The 18,206-nt window shown below is 58.3% G+C and overlaps 1 protein-coding gene and 2 long non-coding RNA genes across 5 annotated transcripts in view, besides 19 other annotated features; 2 read left to right on the top strand and 1 right to left on the bottom strand.

Annotated features, from left to right (window-relative positions):
* The window catches only part of FMNL1-AS1 (FMNL1 antisense RNA 1), a 3,753-nt gene extending 2,216 nt beyond the window's left edge, over positions 1-1,537 (top strand). For both annotated transcript variants that reach the window (NR_186808.1, NR_186807.1), the window contains one exon: positions 314-1,537. This is a non-coding gene — a long non-coding RNA (FMNL1 antisense RNA 1). The remainder of the gene's footprint in view (positions 1-313) is intronic.
* Positions 1-17,670, bottom strand: part of FMNL1 (formin like 1) — a 25,434-nt gene extending 7,764 nt beyond the window's left edge. For both annotated transcript variants that reach the window (NM_005892.4, NM_001411128.1), the window contains exons 1-11: positions 17,302-17,670; positions 8,868-8,951; positions 7,075-7,188; positions 6,258-6,331; positions 5,824-5,907; positions 5,355-5,483; positions 3,311-3,419; positions 2,198-2,274; positions 1,916-2,009; positions 917-991; positions 490-600 (exon numbers count right to left, since the gene is read on the bottom strand). In NM_005892.4, the coding sequence (NP_005883.3) occupies positions 490-600; positions 917-991; positions 1,916-2,009; positions 2,198-2,274; positions 3,311-3,419; positions 5,355-5,483; positions 5,824-5,907; positions 6,258-6,331; positions 7,075-7,188; positions 8,868-8,951; positions 17,302-17,430 (1,080 nt within the window). In that variant the 5' untranslated portion in view covers positions 17,431-17,670. The remainder of the gene's footprint in view (positions 1-489; positions 601-916; positions 992-1,915; positions 2,010-2,197; positions 2,275-3,310; positions 3,420-5,354; positions 5,484-5,823; positions 5,908-6,257; positions 6,332-7,074; positions 7,189-8,867; positions 8,952-17,301) is intronic.
* Positions 4,598-4,737: a silencer, noted in NCBI's record as "silent region_8615". NCBI's record gives its function as "represses an Ori minimal core promoter by ATAC-STARR-seq in GM12878 lymphoblastoid cells {active_cell/tissue: GM12878}" and the evidence as "EXISTENCE:reporter gene assay evidence [ECO:0000049][PMID:35858748]".
* Positions 9,736-9,845: an enhancer, noted in NCBI's record as "active region_12291". NCBI's record gives its function as "activates an Ori minimal core promoter by ATAC-STARR-seq in GM12878 lymphoblastoid cells {active_cell/tissue: GM12878}" and the evidence as "EXISTENCE:reporter gene assay evidence [ECO:0000049][PMID:35858748]".
* Positions 10,236-10,545: an enhancer, noted in NCBI's record as "active region_12290". NCBI's record gives its function as "activates an Ori minimal core promoter by ATAC-STARR-seq in GM12878 lymphoblastoid cells {active_cell/tissue: GM12878}" and the evidence as "EXISTENCE:reporter gene assay evidence [ECO:0000049][PMID:35858748]".
* Positions 10,236-11,098: a biological region, named in NCBI's record as "H3K4me1 hESC enhancer GRCh37_chr17:43305824-43306459".
* Positions 10,463-11,098: an enhancer, noted in NCBI's record as "H3K4me1 hESC enhancer chr17:43305824-43306459 (GRCh37/hg19 assembly coordinates)". NCBI's record gives its function as "activates a minimal SCP1, AML or CMV promoter by ChIP-STARR-seq in naive H9 embryonic stem cells {active_cell/tissue: H9 hESC(naive)}" and the evidence as "EXISTENCE:reporter gene assay evidence [ECO:0000049][PMID:30033119]".
* Positions 11,146-11,215: an enhancer, noted in NCBI's record as "active region_12289". NCBI's record gives its function as "activates an Ori minimal core promoter by ATAC-STARR-seq in GM12878 lymphoblastoid cells {active_cell/tissue: GM12878}" and the evidence as "EXISTENCE:reporter gene assay evidence [ECO:0000049][PMID:35858748]".
* Positions 11,396-11,445: an enhancer, noted in NCBI's record as "active region_12288". NCBI's record gives its function as "activates an Ori minimal core promoter by ATAC-STARR-seq in GM12878 lymphoblastoid cells {active_cell/tissue: GM12878}" and the evidence as "EXISTENCE:reporter gene assay evidence [ECO:0000049][PMID:35858748]".
* Positions 11,456-11,515: an enhancer, noted in NCBI's record as "active region_12287". NCBI's record gives its function as "activates an Ori minimal core promoter by ATAC-STARR-seq in GM12878 lymphoblastoid cells {active_cell/tissue: GM12878}" and the evidence as "EXISTENCE:reporter gene assay evidence [ECO:0000049][PMID:35858748]".
* Positions 13,076-13,295: an enhancer, noted in NCBI's record as "active region_12286". NCBI's record gives its function as "activates an Ori minimal core promoter by ATAC-STARR-seq in GM12878 lymphoblastoid cells {active_cell/tissue: GM12878}" and the evidence as "EXISTENCE:reporter gene assay evidence [ECO:0000049][PMID:35858748]".
* Positions 14,486-14,535: an enhancer, noted in NCBI's record as "active region_12285". NCBI's record gives its function as "activates an Ori minimal core promoter by ATAC-STARR-seq in GM12878 lymphoblastoid cells {active_cell/tissue: GM12878}" and the evidence as "EXISTENCE:reporter gene assay evidence [ECO:0000049][PMID:35858748]".
* Positions 15,076-15,125: an enhancer, noted in NCBI's record as "active region_12284". NCBI's record gives its function as "activates an Ori minimal core promoter by ATAC-STARR-seq in GM12878 lymphoblastoid cells {active_cell/tissue: GM12878}" and the evidence as "EXISTENCE:reporter gene assay evidence [ECO:0000049][PMID:35858748]".
* Positions 15,726-15,795: an enhancer, noted in NCBI's record as "active region_12283". NCBI's record gives its function as "activates an Ori minimal core promoter by ATAC-STARR-seq in GM12878 lymphoblastoid cells {active_cell/tissue: GM12878}" and the evidence as "EXISTENCE:reporter gene assay evidence [ECO:0000049][PMID:35858748]".
* Positions 16,131-16,631: an enhancer, noted in NCBI's record as "H3K4me1 hESC enhancer chr17:43300291-43300791 (GRCh37/hg19 assembly coordinates)". NCBI's record gives its function as "activates a minimal SCP1, AML or CMV promoter by ChIP-STARR-seq in naive H9 embryonic stem cells {active_cell/tissue: H9 hESC(naive)}" and the evidence as "EXISTENCE:reporter gene assay evidence [ECO:0000049][PMID:30033119]".
* Positions 16,632-17,132: an enhancer, noted in NCBI's record as "H3K4me1 hESC enhancer chr17:43299790-43300290 (GRCh37/hg19 assembly coordinates)". NCBI's record gives its function as "activates a minimal SCP1, AML or CMV promoter by ChIP-STARR-seq in naive H9 embryonic stem cells {active_cell/tissue: H9 hESC(naive)}" and the evidence as "EXISTENCE:reporter gene assay evidence [ECO:0000049][PMID:30033119]".
* Positions 16,632-17,305: a biological region, named in NCBI's record as "Sharpr-MPRA regulatory region 174".
* Positions 16,979-17,273: a silencer, noted in NCBI's record as "tiled region #174; K562 Repressive DNase unmatched - State 1:Tss". NCBI's record gives its function as "represses a minimal TATA promoter and a strong SV40 promoter by Sharpr-MPRA in K562 cells {active_cell/tissue: K562}" and the evidence as "EXISTENCE:reporter gene assay evidence [ECO:0000049][PMID:27701403]".
* Positions 17,196-17,305: a silencer, noted in NCBI's record as "silent region_8614". NCBI's record gives its function as "represses an Ori minimal core promoter by ATAC-STARR-seq in GM12878 lymphoblastoid cells {active_cell/tissue: GM12878}" and the evidence as "EXISTENCE:reporter gene assay evidence [ECO:0000049][PMID:35858748]".
* Positions 17,586-17,635: a silencer, noted in NCBI's record as "silent region_8613". NCBI's record gives its function as "represses an Ori minimal core promoter by ATAC-STARR-seq in GM12878 lymphoblastoid cells {active_cell/tissue: GM12878}" and the evidence as "EXISTENCE:reporter gene assay evidence [ECO:0000049][PMID:35858748]".
* Positions 17,646-18,095: a silencer, noted in NCBI's record as "silent region_8612". NCBI's record gives its function as "represses an Ori minimal core promoter by ATAC-STARR-seq in GM12878 lymphoblastoid cells {active_cell/tissue: GM12878}" and the evidence as "EXISTENCE:reporter gene assay evidence [ECO:0000049][PMID:35858748]".
* The window catches only part of FMNL1-DT (FMNL1 divergent transcript), a 30,835-nt gene continuing 30,418 nt past the window's right edge, over positions 17,790-18,206 (top strand). The window contains exon 1 of the long non-coding RNA NR_147507.1: positions 17,790-18,206. This is a non-coding gene — a long non-coding RNA (FMNL1 divergent transcript).

The raw sequence follows: 18,206 nt of genomic DNA, 5'->3' as shown, positions 1-18,206 counted from the left end.
CTCTGCTCAGCCTGGGCCAGGAAGCACCAAGCAGCTCTGCCCACCTTCCCCAGGGCAGGGAACTCCTCCATGTCCTGGGCCCATCCAGCATGAGCCAACTCCTGCTTCTACCCTGTATCTCTGGGTTCCCCATTATATGCTGGAGTCAGAGCACCTGTCTGAGGCTGGTGCTCCCAGAGCCAGACTCTGGGCTACCTTGACCTGTTCTGGTGCCTGCAAAAACAGTTCCATAGACTGGGGGCCTGGTATGTGCCAGGCACTGGTCTATGCATTTAGAGTCAAGATTATCTTCTATGATTCTCCTATTTCACAGATGGCAAAACTGACACTGAGAGAGAGGAAGAGGCCTATCCAAGGTCACACGGCAGGCAACGGCAGAGCCAGGATTTAAACCCAGGTCTACCTGACCCCAGCACTCATGCTGCTAACCACTCAGCCATACTCTGCCGTGGGCAGGCAGTTCAGTCTGGGGGGCAGTACAGGGCTTACCTCCAAGTACAGGTCCAGGCCCAAGTGGGTGAACTCATATTGCAGGAAGACACGGAAGTTCATGTTCTCCACCGAATGTACCACAATGTTGATGAACTGCATGCAGGCCACCTGGGAGCCAGGGACATGGGGAGATCTATGATCCTCTAGGTGGGGTTGCTCAATGCCTTCCACCTCCACTTACCCCAAGCCTCCCTCCTTCTCCACAGTTCTCACTCCACTAACTCCCAGCCTTGGCCTGCCCAACATTTCACCTCCATGTTCCCTCAATCCAGCCCCCTGCCAACATCCACCCTTCCCCTACTGACCACTCAGTCCTTACGCTTTGCGGGGGCAGAGCCCATTGCCCAGCACCCAGGACCCTAGCTGCTCCCTGCACCCAAGAGGGCCTGGCCCAGGCCTCAGGCTGCTGGGCTCCTGAGCTCACCATGAAGTCGATGTTGCTGTCCTCATTCCGGAAATATTCCATCAGCTTTTCAAAGCGGTGCTGCTCCCCACACACCTGGGTAAGGGGAATGGCTCTCACTGAGGCCCAGTGACACACGTCCTAAGCTACCTTCTGGCTGCCACACCTGTGCTTCAACAGGCTCCTCTCCAGTTAATTCTAAGTTGAGCCACGTCACTCTTCTGCTCAAAACCTCCACTCCCTCTCAATCTCCCACTCTCCCTCACTTTTTCCACTCTGGCCACACTGGCATCCTGGCACATTCCCACCCCAGGGCCTTTGCACTTACTGTTCCAACTCCCTGGAGTGCCCTCACTCCCACACCAAGTCCCTTGCTTCCTTCACAGCTTTGCTGAAATCTCACTTGCTCAGTGAGGCCTTCCCTGACCACCCTGCAACCAATTCCCCCTCCCTCTGCAACATTGCTGGCTTTTTTCTCACAGCATTTATCATTTCCTAACATACTATGTAATTTGCTTGTTTATTATATCGTTTCTGTCTTTCCCTATATGGTTTCCTTTGTTCACTGATGTGCCCAAGTGCCCTGTTCCTGACACATAGTAGGCACTCAATAAATATTCATTAAAGGAATGAATGAATGAAGATATCTTGTCTTATGCATCTTATGCAGCCCCACACATCTACTTCTTGCAAGCCTGTTAGCCAGAGTCCGCAACTCCTGGAGGTATGAACCAAGGCTAGTTTGGATCTGGCAAGGCTGAGTCAGAGGTTCAGCAGGTCCCTGTAGTTGTCCCTACCCCCACCCAGGTGGTGCCCTTACCTGACCCTGTACCTTCCATTCAGAACTTCCCCATCCCAGATTGCTGAGCCAGTGATGTGGCTCAACTTCAACTTTTGGGCGTTCCCCAAATGCCCACCCAATGTCCCCAGCTGCCTCCAGCAAAGGCCACAACTGCCAACAACAAGACTCCAAGCAACACCATAGGGGGAAATGCATGTTTGGGTGAGGGACTCCGGTACCTCCTTGAAGTTGTCAAAGGCTGCAAGGATGATGTCATGTCCTCCCCGCACCAAGCACACGGCCGCCAGCAGCTCCAGCACCAGAGCCTTGGTTCTGGAGAGAGAAGGGGCAGGTTGTCCCTTGAGAACAGGCAGGACCCGCGGCAAGGGTGGGCACAGGCCTGGCTAGGAGGAGCATAGTGGGTGCAGAATGAGCCTCTGAGACCTGGAGGACAGAGTAAGCAAGGGGCTAAGTAGGAGAAGACTCTAGATACGGAGAAAGGTTTGGGGCCTGGACCTCACCTGGGGTTCTTGTTGTTGAGGCTCAGAGCAATCTCATTGACACAGGCTGGGTGGTTCATGACAAGGCTGAAGCCAGACTGGGGAGAGAGGAGAGGTCAGTGTCTCCAGGAAGGGCCCCCCAGGACTTCAGGCACCCACGCCACGTGGATCTTTAACTGCCCTCGAGTTTAGGAAGTTCTTTGTATCCAACCGCAACTTCTGTGGCCACCAAAACCTGGCCTTGTTTCTATTTTTTTTTTCAAGATGGAGTTTCCCTCTGTCACCCAGGCTGGAGCGCAGTGGCGCCATCTCAGCTCACCGCAGTCTCTGCCTCCCGGGTTCAAGTGATTCTCCTGACTCAGCTTCCCATGTAGCTGGGATTACAGGCACCTGCCACCACACTCAACTGATTTTTTTTGTATTTTTTTCAGTAGAGACGGGGTTTCGCCATATTGGCCAGGCTGGTCTCAAACTCCTGACCTCAGGTGATCTGCCCACCTTGGCCTCCCAAAGTGCTGGGATTACAGATATGAGCCACCACGCCTGGCCTCTCTTTATTTATTTTTTATTTTTTTATTTTCATAGAGATGGGGTTTCAGTATGTTGCCCAGGCTGATCTCAAATTCTGGGTTCAAGCAATCCTCCCGCTTCGGCCTCCCAAAGTGCTGGGATTATAGGCATGAGCCACTGCACCTGGCCTCTTTTTAAAAACCTTTGTGTTTCCAAAAGCCAGCATCAGGCACCTTGGAAACCGTGAAGCTGGCTTAAAGGCGGGCTAAGTAAAGGAGGACCCAGCTTCACCCATCAGCCCTCCAAATGAATCGACCCGAGGCTGTTCTCCCCTGGCCCTCCGGCCAGCCCTTCTTGGTAGGTGAGCCCAGTCCCTATGTGAGGCTCCTTCATGCCCAGCCATGGGCAGGGGTACTCAGAGAACCTGACAGAGGCAGCAAAAACATGGGCTTCCCCTCAAGACTCATCAGCCTTAAAAGCCTGAGCCAACAGCCCAGATGCGCAAGTTCCCCAGCACAGCACAGGGTAAAGGGACAGTGGATCCCAGAGCCTCGGCAGCTTGTGTAGCCCCCAGTGAGGACAGGCTGGGCTCCCTAGTCGCCAGTCCCATGCCCCTCGGCTGACCTGGTAGTTCATGATGGCGCGTAGGCACATAATACAGACGTGGACGTCGTCCTTCTGGCTGACGATGCGGGAATTCCGCAGGGCCTTCCTGCTGTGGGCTGGGGTCAGCCTGGGCGGGGTGTGGAGGAGGCAGCAGGAGTCAGAGTGAGCCCCAGCTTCCTGTTTCCCCACCACTCAGCCTCTGGGGTAAGAGGAGGCACATCTGGAACCTGACGGCACCACATCCCATCTACCCAACCAAAGAGGCTGGCTGAGGGCAGGCAGGCTTCCTCAGTCCTTAGACCTGGGGTCTGGCATGCTTGGAGGAGGGGGGACACAGAAGCAAAGACACTTCCCAGGGACTTGGTAGGGTGAGGGTCTATAGAAGGAAGAGACATGGGAAGGATCACCACAAGGTGGCGCTCATGGCCACTTGGGCTCATCTTCCAATGTAAGACGCAGATCTGAATTCACACTGCCAGGGTTCAGGCGCATCCCAGCTCACCATTTACTGGATAAGTCACTTAATCTCCCTATCCCTCACTTTCCTCGCTTCTAGAATAGGAATGCTAATAATAGTAGCTTCCTGTCAGGGTTGTTGGGACTATGGAATAGGCTTAGAACAGTGCCTGGCACATAGTAAGTGCTATATGACTGTACTCCCTTATTCTTCGCCAACAAATGTGTGATGTTTTCATTGTTGCAGAACTGCCGACCGGGACTTCCACATGTCAGTCTCTCTGATGATTCTATCACATTCCCAGTAATACCAGGAGGCCCCGCCTTCACCCCCTCCTGCCACATCACCCTTTCTTGTCATTGTGCTAATATGTCAGAGTTTTTGTTCATGCTGTTCCTTCTGCCTGGAATGCTCTTCCCTGTTCCCATGGCTGCCTGTAAAGCCTGTATCTGTCTGTAAGACACAGTTCCAGCGTCACCTTTTCTGGGAAGCCTTCCTGATGTCCCAAGTGGTGGCCACCTCCCTTCTCAGAGCTCCCAGGCACACTTCCATGACAGCCTGTCACACTAAATTGTCCCCCACTTAGACTGTGGGCCCCTGAGGGCAGGGTGACCTGTCTCCTGGGCACCTGCCATATACCTAATACATACTAAGTGTTAAAAAAATGTTTGCTGAATGCATAATTGCATGAATGGACAAATAACATATTGTGAAAGTTTGAGGCTTAATATGCAATCAATCCTCTAGACCCAAAGCAGGAAGCTAGGGATTCACAAGATGCTCTAGGGTCCATCTACTGCCTGCTTCCTGCCTCCCAGCAAGATGCCCGTGTTAGGATGGAGGAACCCAGCCACAGCACTGAACCCAGGGACATCAGTTGAATACCTCATCCTAACCCACCACCACCCTGGGAGGGAGTCAGCCAGGCATGCACCTGCCCCTAGATGGCTACGTACCGGGGAGAAGGGGGACACCTGGAGGCCGCATGGGAGAAAACAGGGGATTAGATGCATACAAGAGGGGTCCCACCAACCCAGAAACTCCCTTCTTATCCCAGACCCATCCAGACTCCAACTTCTAGGTGCCCACCCCGATGGCTTCTTTTTTCTTTTCTTTTCTTTTTTTTTTTTTTTTTTTTTTTTGAGACAGGGTCTCACTCTGTCACCCAGGCTGCAGTGCAGTGGTGCGATCTCAGCTCACTGCAACCTCCATCCCCTGGGCTCCAGCGATTCTCCCACCTCAGCTTCCTGAGTAGCTAGGATTACAGGCGTGCACCACCACACCCGGCTAATTTTTGTATTTTAGTAGAGATGGGGTTTCACCATGTTAGCCAGGCTGGTCTCAAACTCATGTCCTCAAATGATCTGCCCACCTCAGTCTCCCAAAGTGCTGGGATTACAGGCATGAGCCACAGCACCCAGCCCCACCCCTGATGGCTTCTTAACATACTGGTGTCCCAAACTCTGTATGAGTCCCTTACTCGGACCCCTAATGCATGGCTACCCCTCTCGCCAACCCCAAGGGCCCGGGGTGGGCTGGCTAGATGCAGCAGTGTGGGGGCTGAATTCTCTGTTCTCCCACCACCCCACTTTGTGGCCCACATACTTGATGGTCAGGTGGCGGCTTTTGGGCACGGAGGAGGGTGGACCCTTGCTGAGGTCTTCCACAGACTGCTCCAGGGGCTTGTTTTTCTCTGAGTTGGAAGCCCCGTTGTCTGTGCTCTCCATGTCATACCTGGGGACAGGATGCAATGGGGCTGGAGGCCAACACTGCAGGGGCCACTTAAGAGGGGGCAGAGGAAACGCAAGGAGAGACAGACCTGCAGGTGAGACTAAGGAGCAGGAGGAGGAGGCTGTGTTCTTGGCACTGTGCTGAACATAGTGGTGGAAGAGAGGCCACCCCTCCCTGTCGGGGGCAGGCCTTCTGGAAGGAGCATCGCTCAAGGCCAAGTGGAGGGTTCCAGGGTAGGCTCGGGCTGCCTGGCTTGAAACTGGCCAGGGGAGTGGGTGAGATGCAGGGAGACGGGGATCAAAGCTCTGAGGAGCGGCATGAGGGCTGGGAGCAGGGGGCTTACGTGACAGAGCACTGGGCAAAGGCCAGGTACTCGAGCAGCACATCCAGGCCACGGTTCTCTTCATTGAGGAACTCCTGCACCCACCTGTGGGCACAGGGCTCCCTGAGCTCCAGCCAGAAAGGAGGTCCTGCCCCACATGGGCACAGAACAGGGACAGCAAGGACCCCTGGGGTGCCCTTTCAACCCCCAAAGACCCAATGATACCAAAGGATTCTGGGAGACTCAGGTGGGTCCCACAGCCCAGCCATGCCTCAAGGTGCCAGTCAGAGCATGGGCAGGAAGGGGAGGGGAAGCTGTCCTGGACACCTCCAGGAGGTGGTCCACAAGCACAGCCTTGTGCAGGGGGCAGGGGGAGTAGGAAGGGGAAGCTCCAGGAGCTGCCTGGAAGCAGAGCCTTCCTAGGCCCAGAGAGGAAGATCTGAGCCCTCACTCACCCAATGTGGTTGGTCCTCAGGGAGGTCTCCAGCTCCCGTAGCACCTGCGTGGACTCCTGAACTCGCCTCTTAAACTGGGGACCGAGAACAGGGAAGGCTGGTGGGTGGAGCCCGGCCTCCCACAGGCCCACCAAGTCCTGAGGCAGCAGGCAGCAGCGCCCACCCTCCTCCAACTGGCACAAGTGGCCTTTCATGCTCAGCCTCCCCCACCACCTCCACACACCTGCCCAGCAGAATAAGAACTCACAGGCTACATGTGCTCCCCCATACATAGACAAGCAGGGTACACACACCCCCGATACATGGGCACACAAGGTATACACATGCACACACACAAAGAGGCAGAGTGTGTGTGCGCACACACACACACAGCACATGAACATCCATATACCTGCACTCTAAATACAGACATAGAATATCCACACATCCATACATGGACACACACACACACACATTCTCTCTCTCTCCTAGATATGGACTCAATGGTACACACACACATCCATAAGTGGACAAAGTACACACATAGTATACACACACACCTATGTATGGACATATGGGCTGCACATGTGTATACACACAGTATAAGTACACAGAATGTGTCCATGTAAGCACACACAGGATGTACAGAGGAATATCTAAAGTGCACACCCAGGGCACTCTCATTCCCCTATAAATACACAGACACACAAACACACACACACACTCATACATGCACCCACACACGCACATAGAAAAGTCTGTACACACAGTTACTCCAGCTGCCCAGAGCTTGGAAAATGTGGGGGAAAGGGACAGAGTAAAGAGGGGAGACATGTACCCCCAGGTTGGACATCCAATCAGCTGCTACCTTTCGGCTGACCCCACCAGTATCCACATAGCTCTTCAGCTTCTGGATGTAGGCTGCGGGGGGATTCTTGACTTGAAACCGCTCCTGGGGAGATGGAATGGGGTGTACAGAAAACCAGCCAGAGCTACCCCAGGGCAAATGACCAGTTCTCGTCCCAGTGTCCCATTCTCAGCTCCGATCTGAGGTCCCAGGCTTTCTTAAGACGCCTCTGAAATACCAAAGGTATAAACCCAAACAGTCCACCAAGCCACTTTCTTTTTTTTTCTTTTCTTTTATCTTTCTCTTTTCTTGCCCTGTGGCCCAGGCTGGAGTGCTGTGGCACGAACATAGTTCACTGGAGCCTCCTACTCCCGGGCTCAAGCGATCCTCCTACCTCAGCCTCCCAGGTAGCTGGGACTACGGGTGTGCACCACCACGCCCAGCTAGCATCGGGCCACTTTAAAAACCCCTGGCCTAGGCCTAGCCTGCCCTTCCTGTATGGGCTCCCAGGCCACAGCCCTGACACAGCTTTGGGGTGGACTATGCAGGGGTCAGTCCTGCCGTAGGCCCCGCCCTGGGGTGGGAAGGAACTCAGTCTAGCCAGCAGGTGGTGCCCTCCCTGGACCAGAGCTGGCATACGGCGGGGAAGGACGGCTGGAGGTGCCTCGTGAAGGGGACCCAGCACCTGGGTAGGACTCGGACCCAGCCGCCCTGCACATCTGCGTTGGCAGGAACCTGCGTGCTCCTCTCCTGTGCTCAGTGATGCAATTCCTAATCCCCCCACCCCACTGCAGGCTCCAGCGGCCACTCACACAAAGAGGCAGGGACCACGGCAAAGACCCCTCCCCAGAGGGGCCCCCACCCTTCCAACCCAAACCCCTCAGATTCGCCGAGCCACCCCTCAGACTTTCACTTCTTCCAGCCCTTTGAGCCCCCAACCTCTGAGATGTCAGGCTGAGCTGCTCCAAGGGGACCCCTACCAGAGACTCCAGGGGCAGCTCTCCACCCTCTTCCCACTTCCCAGCCCTTACCCCTGGACTGCTGCCCAGCCGGCTCAGGCCATCTGCTTCATTAGCAGGAGGCAAAGGCCCAGCCTTGGCTCCCAGGGGAGGCTCTCAGCTCCCAACTCCCCACCCCCAGCCTCTGCAGCCTCCCTCCTTCACAGAATCCCTGCGGCAGCCGAGCCCCACCCAGCCCAGCGCTGGGAGAGGGTCGGCCCATGGCCGACCGCAGCCCTTGAAGCTGGAGGGGTGGGGACAGCTGAGTGACCCGTGAGTCCAGGCACCTGGACGGAGCACCAAAGCAGGGGTCCAAAGTGGCTGGCCTTGGGGAGTTGCTGGTCAACTGCAGCTCCTCTGGACCCAAGGCAAAAGGGCAGGAATTCCCGCCCCTTCCTCCCTCCCTCCCATGGGGTCAGGTGAAGATGTCCAACCCCAGGGTCGCCCTCTCCCTTCCCCAGTCCAGAGAGGTTTCTCAGGAAGCTCAGCAGGAGGACAGTGACAGTGCGAGGCCCCAGCTGCCCCAGCCTGAACCAGCTCTGCCAGCTCCTCTGAAGCTGACCCAGCCCTGCTAGTGACTCACAAGGTCTTTTGGGGAGTTCAAGAGAAAGGGATTTGGGAGTCCTGCAGACCCCAGCACCCTCCCCAGGTGCTACATTGGCCACTGAGCAGAGTCTTGGCTCCATGGGCAGTATGGCGGTGCCCCTCTCCCCATAGCCCCAGCCTGGTCAGGGTGGGGTACTGACAGTGGGAGGGAAGGGGTGGCTGGGCAGTGCTGGCACCTACCTGATCACAGATGAGCTCCCACTTCTTCTCGTTGTCATACTGGCTCAGCAGCTGGACCTTGTCTGGGGGCAAGTTCATGCAGTTCTGGGGACAGGGAGGACAAAGACCCCTGAGCCTGGGGCCCCAACAAGGGGAGAGGGGAGAATGGGCATTTGGGGGAAACCCACTTGGCTCCCTAGGAGGTGCATCACCCCCATGAATCCTCTGACCCTAGGAGATACGTAGTGTTATCCAATGAGAAGACCAAGGCCAAGAGAGACAGAGCACCTTTCCCGGGGCACACCAGCTAGAAGGGAGAGCAGGATTTGAATCCGAGTCTGCCTGCGCTGTGTCACCCCCCACACCGCCTCCCTGGCCTGCCTGGTGTGCAGGCAGGAGCGTGGGTTGTCAGCCTACCTCTCTGGGGACCTGAGACACTTCTGGGCCCCAGTTTTCCTGTTGGGGCATCATCTCTTCCCCCATTCTGGTGGGAAGCTAACAGGGGAGCCATCACCAGTCAGGCCAAAGTGTGGCCAGTGGCCAGTGGCCAGTGTCCCACCTCCACGTGCCACCAGATCCCACGTGTACACAGACCAGGCCCAGGGCACCAGTGCCTCACGAACACCAGGAAATCTCTTGCAAGGAGAGTGGACAGCAGCCTTCTCCTCATCCCTCTCCAGCCCCCTCCCACTTGGAGGAGAAGGCTGAGAAAGGAAGGAGAGGGCTGGGGGAGCTGAGGGCGGCCATGTCAGCAGGCAGGGAGTTCCAGATCACAGCTGCAGGGGCGGGGAGATTTGCGGGGAAGGTCACTCGGCCACAGCACTGGGGAGAAGAGCCAGTGCCCTGGGTCTGTGGTGGGGGCCGCCCAGCTGGGACTCCCCCAGGAGCTGAGAAAGGTCAACAGAGCTCTGCCTGGGTCCTCCTCCCCTGGCCACAGATGACAAGGGTACGGTGCCCCTGCCACCACGGAGCAGGTTAGCGCCAGCCCAGGGCTGCCGAATCAACCAGGTGTCAATAGCACCAGGGGCTTTCTGGACCCCCAGACTTGGCTTGTCTCCCTGACAGACCCAAAAGATGAGGCCAGTTCCCTTCAATTTAGTAAACCCCAGGTTATTGAGAGCCTTCTATATGTCTGGCCCAAAAAGACAGTTCCTGCCCTCAAGGAGATCTGAGTTGAGTAAGAGTCTCCATCGGGGATGTGGGAGACCCTGAGGGGCTCACCAGCCATGGTGGTTCACGCTCCACACCCTCAGTCATGTGGCTCTGCAGAGACGCCACAGCTGGAGCAGTCAGAGGGCCACACCCACCTGAGACTCCCCAGCCAGCTTCCCCTCCAGGGTGCTGGGCCTAGTTCTGGGGCTCCAGCCAGACCTTACCCCCAAAATCACTGCCTTGGGTCAGGCCCAGACAACAGGAAGCTGGGTGCGCTCAGCCTCCATTGCCTAAGCTTTCCGGCCAGGCCCTGCTGGAGAGGTGAAACTGCCCCTCCGCCAGGCCCCCCGCCCCCAGCGGCTGAAGGGGGTGGAATACGTCATTCCTCTCCCCTATTGCGAAAGTGAGCCTGGATTGAGGAAACCACCGCTGTCTCATCAGCCGCCCTCCCCCAGCCCTCCAAGGGCCAGGACAGCTCCTGCTACCACAGGGGCAGGGGGTGGGGGAACCGCCCAGGAGTACAAAGGAGGCGAGGTCATTCTCTGTCTCTCTGTCCCTGTCCATCTGTCTGTCTCTCTCGATGATGTCTCTCAGTCACCCCCACCCCACAGAGACAAAGGGTGGGGCAGGGCTAAGGTGGGAGCAAGGTGGAGAAAAGGGACAAAGAGGAGAGACAGGGCCAGCAGTGCCAGGGAAACTGGAGCCGTGGCCGGCACAAAAGACGGTGGCCAGGGAGTAAGGGGATGGCTGAGCCCAGCACAGAGCCACAGAGGGGACAGCTGCTTCCCGACATGAATCCTCCCAGGCCCTCACCCACCCAGGGAACTTTATGGTTCTGGAATGGCCCCAGCGGCATTTCTAGGGGCAGTAACTAGTCATAATGACATCTCCAACAGTCAGGTGGCCAGCTCCACCAGAATGCCTACTGTGCAAGGCACTGCTCCGAGCCCTGCGCGCCGACGACTGCCTTCCACCCTCACTGCCGTCACTGGCACCGTTAACATTCCCACCTCACAGGTGCAGGCACAGATTAGTTTAGTGACCTGCCCAAGGTTACGAAGCCAGTAAGAGGAGAGCTGGGCTGGCTTTGAGCCTGGAGCTGACTCTGAGCCACCACCTGGGTCCACTCCCCCAGGACAGCCCCCTGGTTGTTACTGCCGAGGGGAGGCCTCTGCTGGGGCCTGGAGCACCTGTCTGAACAGTGGTGGAGGGCAGGGTGCCCATGCCCCTTCCCCACCTGGGCCTTCTCAGGCCCCCAGGCCCACATGCCAGCCTGCCAGACAGGCTAAATTTAGGCTCAGAAATCAGAAATAGCTCTGACAGCGCCGAACACTAATTAGCAGCTGCTCCTCAGCTGTGGCTGTGCCCACCGAGGAGCCAGGCACTCCAGGGAGTAGGAGAGGGGCCATCAGATGCCACTCACTCGGGGTGGAGTGAGGCCACCCTGAAAACAGGAACAGACCCCCAGACCAGGGCCTTCAGCGAGGCAGCAGCACCATGGGATGGGGGGCTGGGGGACACACGGAGAGTTGGCTGACAGTGCTCAAGTAGGAGGGGAGGGGCTGGCAGTCCAGGTGGGCGGGATACCTGCCTCCTGAGGGGGGCAGGGAGGGACAGCTATGAGCTGCCACATGGAGGACCTGGAGCTGGCTTCAAAAGACCCAGGCTCTGGGCCCAACTAGCCCTACAGCTTCTTTGCCCCCTTGGACCTCAGCTTCCTCCTCCATAAAATGGGCGCACTCCCTCACCGGAGCCTCACACTCACGGAGCTCCTGGAACACTCAGTGAGAAGCTGAGTTTGGATTTAACAAAGCTCTTCAGTGGCCTAACACTATGAAGAAGCACTTCACAGAGGCAGAAGAGGTGGAGGGGCAGGGGTCCATGGAAGACCCCAGGGTAGGGGATGGTAGGGTGAGCAGAAGTTTGTGAAAACATCCAGAAACACAGACTTGTCTCCAAGGCTTTGGCCAAACCTTAACTAGCCTCAGCCTACTTTCCCTGCTGCCTTTAGTGCTTTGGGCCAGATGAGGAAAGAGACAGGATTCATCTTTTAGGGTGTGGCCGAGAAAAGGAACTGATTCCCCACATCTTTCTATTAGAATGTGTGGGGACCATTCTCCTCCCTCCCTGCCCTGAGTGTGAGAGGGGACCCCCAGCATCTGCTCACCTAAGACCAGCCCCCAAAAGACACTGCTAAGAGCCCTTCCCCCACCTCCCCCACACCAGTGCTTACTTCTGAGACAGTGTCCCAGGAGGCTGAAGGGGCTGCGTCCACATCTGGACACAGCCACACCCTAGGGTTTCACTTTCAGTTTGAGCGGAGCCTACGTCTCAGTCCACCTGCCCATCTCTCCCTATGGCCTAGCCCTTCAAGCCCCAGGGTACCCCTGAACTTGGACATCAATCCCAGTCTCAGGCCAGCCCCACAGGCTTTCCTCAGCCCGATGGGCCCAGAAGCTGAGCCTGTCCCCCAGCCCCCACTCCCCCATCCATCTCCCTGCCACCTGCCCACCTCTATATGGTCTCAACCTTAGTTGTAGTGTTCTCGGCACATATCCAAACACAATCAATTTTACCTCCTTTTTTAAACTTTGGCATATAGATTTTCTGGGGCTCTTATAAGCAATTCCAGGCTTACAGGAGATCTATGAGGAGACCCAGCCCCAGGATCAGGTGCTGAGGACCCAAAGAGCTAACAGCTTCTCCCATCAGAGTTCAAGGGTCCCCACAGCTGGGACAAGGGCAAGCAGGGTGGAAGCCACTACCTATATCATCCAGGCTGGTAGGAGGAAAACAACACCGACAACAGTAACAATAACAAACGCTCCCCAGACACTTTTTTTCACTCAGAATTAATCTCTCAATCCCAAACACTGGGTGCTAGGTGCCGTTCTAAGCACTTTACATCAAAACTCATTTAAACCTCAACAAGCCTACAAAATAGATACTGTTATAATCCCTATTTCACAAATGGGAAACTGAGACTCAAGGAGGTTAAGGTGCTTGCCCAGGGTGGCCTCGGTGGCAAGCTAGCAAGGAAGACCCGGCTTCCTCCAAAGAAGGAGCAGCCGGGGAATGGGAAATGTGGGTCCTGGCCCCCAGGGGTCTTCTGCAGACAGCCTGGCCCAGATCCCCCATCTGAGGAACCAGGAACAGCCAGCTCCACTTCCTGCCACCCAGCGCCCCACGCTTCCTGTTGTTGCCCACACAGAGCTCTTACTCACTGGGGAACCCCCCCACCAGCACACCCTCTCTCAGGGGGAAGTGGAGGCCTCCCCTCCCCCTCCCATGTGCACACTGCTACCGTTAGCACCATCGCTGCCCCACCCTCCAGGAGAGGTAGGCCCTCCCTCCAGCGGTTTCCGGCCACCAGGCAGTTTTCGGTCTGGGCCCCACTGCTGGTGACCTGCATAACGGTGGGGAGGTTGCCTGGCCCTCACTAGCTAAGGATCTGGGGCTCCTGGGGAGTGCACAGTAACCTTGGGTGCTCTTGGTAGTGGAGGTGGAGGGAGGGGACAGGCAGGGTCTGGGCTCCCTCCGCTAAATGGGCCCTGAGATGGAGAGGACCAGATCAGCTCCAGCTTTATCCCCTTTCTCACAGTGGAGGGGGGTTACTGAGCATCTGCTCTGTGTCAGGCACTGTGCGAAGTCCTCTATTTCACCCTCTCGACAATCCTAGGAGGCCAGCAGATGCCATTATTATTCTCTTTTTACAGGTGAGGGAAACTACAGCTCAGAGAAGTTAAGTAACTTGTCCAGGGCCATGCAGGTAGTGACAAAAATGAATCTCAACCCCCAAACATCATGACCCCAAAGCTCAGGAAACGTCCCTGCCTTTCCCATAAGTAACCCCTGTCCCCTCAAAGGCCCCCCAAGCCACCTTCCAGGGCTCCATGTTCCCAGGAAAAAGGCAGAGGTAGCCCTGAGAGCACCTGCTTCTACCCGTCTCACCCAGCTCTCTGCCAGTCAGCCCCAGATGTCACTGTGAATCATGCCCACCACATCCGTGGCTTTCCAGGGTTAGTATGTGCCAGCCCTGCCTGCTGGGAATGTCACCCCTCCCCTCTGCCCAGCCCAACATCAGACCACATGGCCACATCCCCCCGGAGATCCTCTGTCCTGCAAATGGCAGGCATAAGGCCTGAGCGACCCCATGGCTCCAGGTCCCCACACTTCATCTGCCCTGTCCCGGAGGTGGGAGTGGCCAGGGGGCAGTGCCTCAGTTGCAGTCCCTCCTGCCCTTTACTGCCAGCCCCAGAAGGGAAGGGCCCCAGCTGCAAGCAGGACTCCAGGCCCACACCCAACATGGGGCCATCCTGACCTCCCCACACAGCCTGGCCAGGCACCCAGGCCTCTGGGCACAAGCCAAGAGCACCCATCAGGCAAATTCCTCTCCACTGCTACTGGATGCCAGCATGGCTTTTGGCCTCACGTACACCACCCCTGACACCTTCCCTTGATCCCTCTGCCCCAAGGTTATGGGATTCTCCCTGCCCGGCAGATCAGGGGTGTCCCAGGCCCAGGTGTAAGTGTGGCTCTTCTGGCAGGCCTGGAAAGGTCGCCTTGTCATCCCAGTCCCTGACCCTGCGTGCCTCCCAGGGGAAGGCATGAAGGGGCTGGAAGACACCCAGCCTTGGGCATGGGCGTAGGAGAGGCGAGAGCTTGGCGCCCCGCTGGCTGGTGTTCCCACCATCACAGCAGGCCCGTGGGGCTGGGCAGCCATCGCTCCTCTGCTGTTGCTAAGGCAGCAGCCGGAAACCCTGGCTCAACCTGCTCTTTCTCTCCACCCCCATTTTAAGCAGGGGGCACCCCTTTCTTTCACAGCTTTCTTGGAAAGGTAGCCCCCCACCACCCACCCTTGCATGGGAGAAGGGCTCCCTGCACCTCCTGTCTGGCTGTAAGTGGGGACACCCCTCACCCACAAGAGAGGTCCTACAGCCAGGAGAGGAAGGAGAGTTTGGGGTATCAGGATCCTATGCCCCACCAGGGACAAAAGGGGAAGGAAGAGGTTCCCTGGGGCCGCTGGACTACATCCCTGAGGGCAGGACTGTGCTTCTCCCATTGAGACTGGGGACCACTGATGGCGGTGGGCCCCTCCCCTCAGCAATCTAAGGTTCTTCTCCTCTTAGACACTGACCGAGGACAGGACTCAGCTCTGGCCATGGTGGTTCGGGTGGGGGTTCACATAGCGACCAACTCTGCGATACACACTGCCAGACCTGAGGGTTGAACCAACTCTTTAGCCCTGGGCAGCCTCAGGCAGAGGTCAAGGTTGTCACCCTGGGGCAAGCCTCATGCCCCTGCTGGTGGGGAATGAGAGGAACCAGGGTCTTAGCCAAGTGTCCTTAGATTGGGTTTAACCTGCCCACAACAGGATATAAGACAGGCTGAGCCACCCCGGGAAGAAGGTATAAACACACTGGGGTTCCTGGGCACCTGGTAGGGGGTAAGCCCTGGTGGGTGCTGCTACCCTAAATTTCTGCTAGGCACCTCCACTTTCTCCACCAGCACACCCTCTCTGACCCACCTGTGGGTGTCCCCCCTCCACATCCTGGTACTCAGGGACTCCCAGTGGCATTTAGTGTCAGACTCAGCCAATCACAGCCACAAATCCAAGCAGGGCAAACAAGTCCTACACACACATCAGAACCTCACCATTTGACTTGTGGATTTTCCCCTGGTCTGAATTATTCACAGGGCTCCTCCCCATCAGCGTGCTAAACAGAAGATTGGGGTCAGGACCTCACCCCAAGAGCCCACACCCGCGACCATAGACACACACTTGGCGGAAAGACAGACCCATGTCCCTCCAACCAGGTTGGCAGGGGTCCAAGGACCCACCACCAATGCAGGCTCTCCAGATGGCCCCCAGAGACTGTGTCTCCTCATTCTCCCCCCTCCCCCATCTGCTCAGCTCAGCTCAGCTTTGTGAAGTCCTATGCTTGGGGAGCGGGGAGCAGGGCAGGTGGAGAGATGGAGAAGTCAGGGGCCAGCCTGGTGTGAGGCGTCCCTCAGTGTCCCTGCCCTCCTCTAATCAAGCAAGGTGTCTTCACAAGGATGGATCCCTCGCCACCCCATAGCTCCTCCAAACTCCCCCCAGCCTTCTCTTGGGAGAGGACAGAAGCCAACATTTTCAGGAACTGTTAGGAGGTGACCCTCTGGAGCCATGCTGAGGATCTAGCACGTATGGCCTAATGACCAGCCAGGCGAGGGGAAATGATGTCAAGGAGATGGAGGGCCACCAACTGAGCCAGAACCCTCTGCGGCCTGTGTCTCCGTTGAGCCCCCACCCTCAGACCTGCAGGGACTGGGAAATGCATCTGGGAGAAGGCACAGCCTCATTTTGCCTGTCACCCAGCGTCCAGCAAGGGAAGGCTGACAGCAGGCAGGCCACCAGGCAATTAGTTAGAGGAGGGAGCCAGGGCCAGGGCGTCGGGGGTGGGGAGAGTGAGAGTGAGCAGCTCTTCCTCTCCCTACTTCTGCCTTATGCAGGGTCTTGGAGACCCCTGAGTCTGCTCTGGAGCCCCCACCCCACTGAACATGTTGACTGTTTCCAGGCTCGGCCTGAGCTGCTGGTTCCCTCCCAGAGACCTATTCCCCAGCGACCCCGCTCCAATTCCCCAGGTAGGCACAGAGGGGGGTGGTTCCAGATTTTGCTCCACCCCTAGCCTGGGCGACCCACCCGTCCTGACCCCACCCTCCCTCATCTTACTCCCTTCAGTGGCTTGGAAAGGATGCCCCAAGATAAAGACCCACAGGCACCCTGGCTCTGACATATGGCGGGGTAGAAACACAGATACCTCCTGGCCATGATCCGACAACCCCATTCCCCGCAGCCCAGGCGCCCAACAAATCAGGACCCAACACCTCCAGCAGGTCTCCCGCTCCCGGGAGGTTGTAACCCTTTCATCTTTGACTCCAGACACAGAAAGGCAGATGCCCCAGACCCGCGCCCGGTGGCTGGGCCTGCGTGCAGTGGGGAAGGGGGCGACCCGGGACCCCTGTGCGTGCCCCGCTCCCAACTTCTTCACAGGACATACTTGTTTAGACCTTAAGACCCAGCTGGGGTGGAGGCGTCTTAGGGAGGGAGACCGGGCGATAACTGAAGAAAGTTTTGGGGGGAGAGTGCTAAGTCACTCTGAAAAAAAGGCCACTGTCGCTCCCACCTCCTGGAGGGGGCAGCTGCCGGACCGGGGATCTCCAAGCGGCACCTGAGTCCCCGGGGGCGGGGACGCGCGCCCAGCCCCTGCCGCGCCCCTGCCGCCCCCCGCCCGCGCCCGACCCGCCTCCGGGTCGCACTCACCAGGGCGCGGTTGAACCTCTCCTCCAGCTCTCCGGCCGCGGGCATCGGCTGCTTGGGAGGCGCGGGCTGCTTGGGGGGCGGCGCGGCGGGGCCCGCGGGCTGCTCGGCGCTGCCGGCCGCGTTGCCCATGGTGGTCCCCACCCAGCCGGCCAGGCGCCTCCAGCCTCGGAAATCCAGCTTTCCGGGGGACGGGGACGAGGCTCCCGGCCCGGGCGGGGGCGAGGGGGCAGCGGCTGGCGGTGGCGGCGGGGGTCTCGGCAGCGGGGGGCGCTCGGCTCAGCGGCGCGCAGGGGCCGGAGCGCGGCGTCCCATCGGGGCGGCCCCGTCCGTGGGACCGGGCGGCGAGCTGCAGGGTTGGGGGAGGAAGTCAGGCTGCAGGCCGCCGGGGCCAGAGGGCTGGGCCGGGGGCAGGAAGCTGCGGCGCTGGCTCCCCCCTCGGCGATTTTCGAACTTCTGCTGTCGCTCCCCGTGCGCGCAAACCGCAGTTCGCCGCCGCCGCCGCCGGGCACCCAGCCCCAGGGGGGCGGGCTGGAGGGAGGGGGCGGGCGCTGGCCGGGGGACCCCCGCAACCATGGCGGGCGGGGAGTGGGCTGCCGAGCCGCTTCACCTGCCGCAGAGGGGGCGGCCGGCGCCGCTTCACCTGCCGGAGCGGGAGGCCACCGAGGCGAGGCCGAGGCGGCGGCGCGCTCGGCGGCGCCTCCGGGTCCTAGAACCGCATCCTCCCGCTCGCCTCGGGCGAGGGATTGGCCGGGTCTGGGTGAAGGGGATCACGGCCTGGGGATTGGAGGGGCACATCTTCTCCGCACCGAGGATCTCAGCGACTGCGAGCACGGCTCGGAGACCCACGGTGGTGCAGCGTTGGGGCGCCAGGGCTGCGTTCCCGTCTCGCGTCCCGGACTGAGAAG

Source organism: Homo sapiens, chromosome 17 (genome assembly GCF_000001405.40).
Source record: "Homo sapiens chromosome 17, GRCh38.p14 Primary Assembly".
In the NCBI taxonomy this organism is placed as follows: domain Eukaryota; kingdom Metazoa; phylum Chordata; class Mammalia; order Primates; family Hominidae; genus Homo; species Homo sapiens.
Note: the sequence above shows the minus strand (reverse complement) of the source record. Positions and strands in the feature narration are given on the sequence as shown.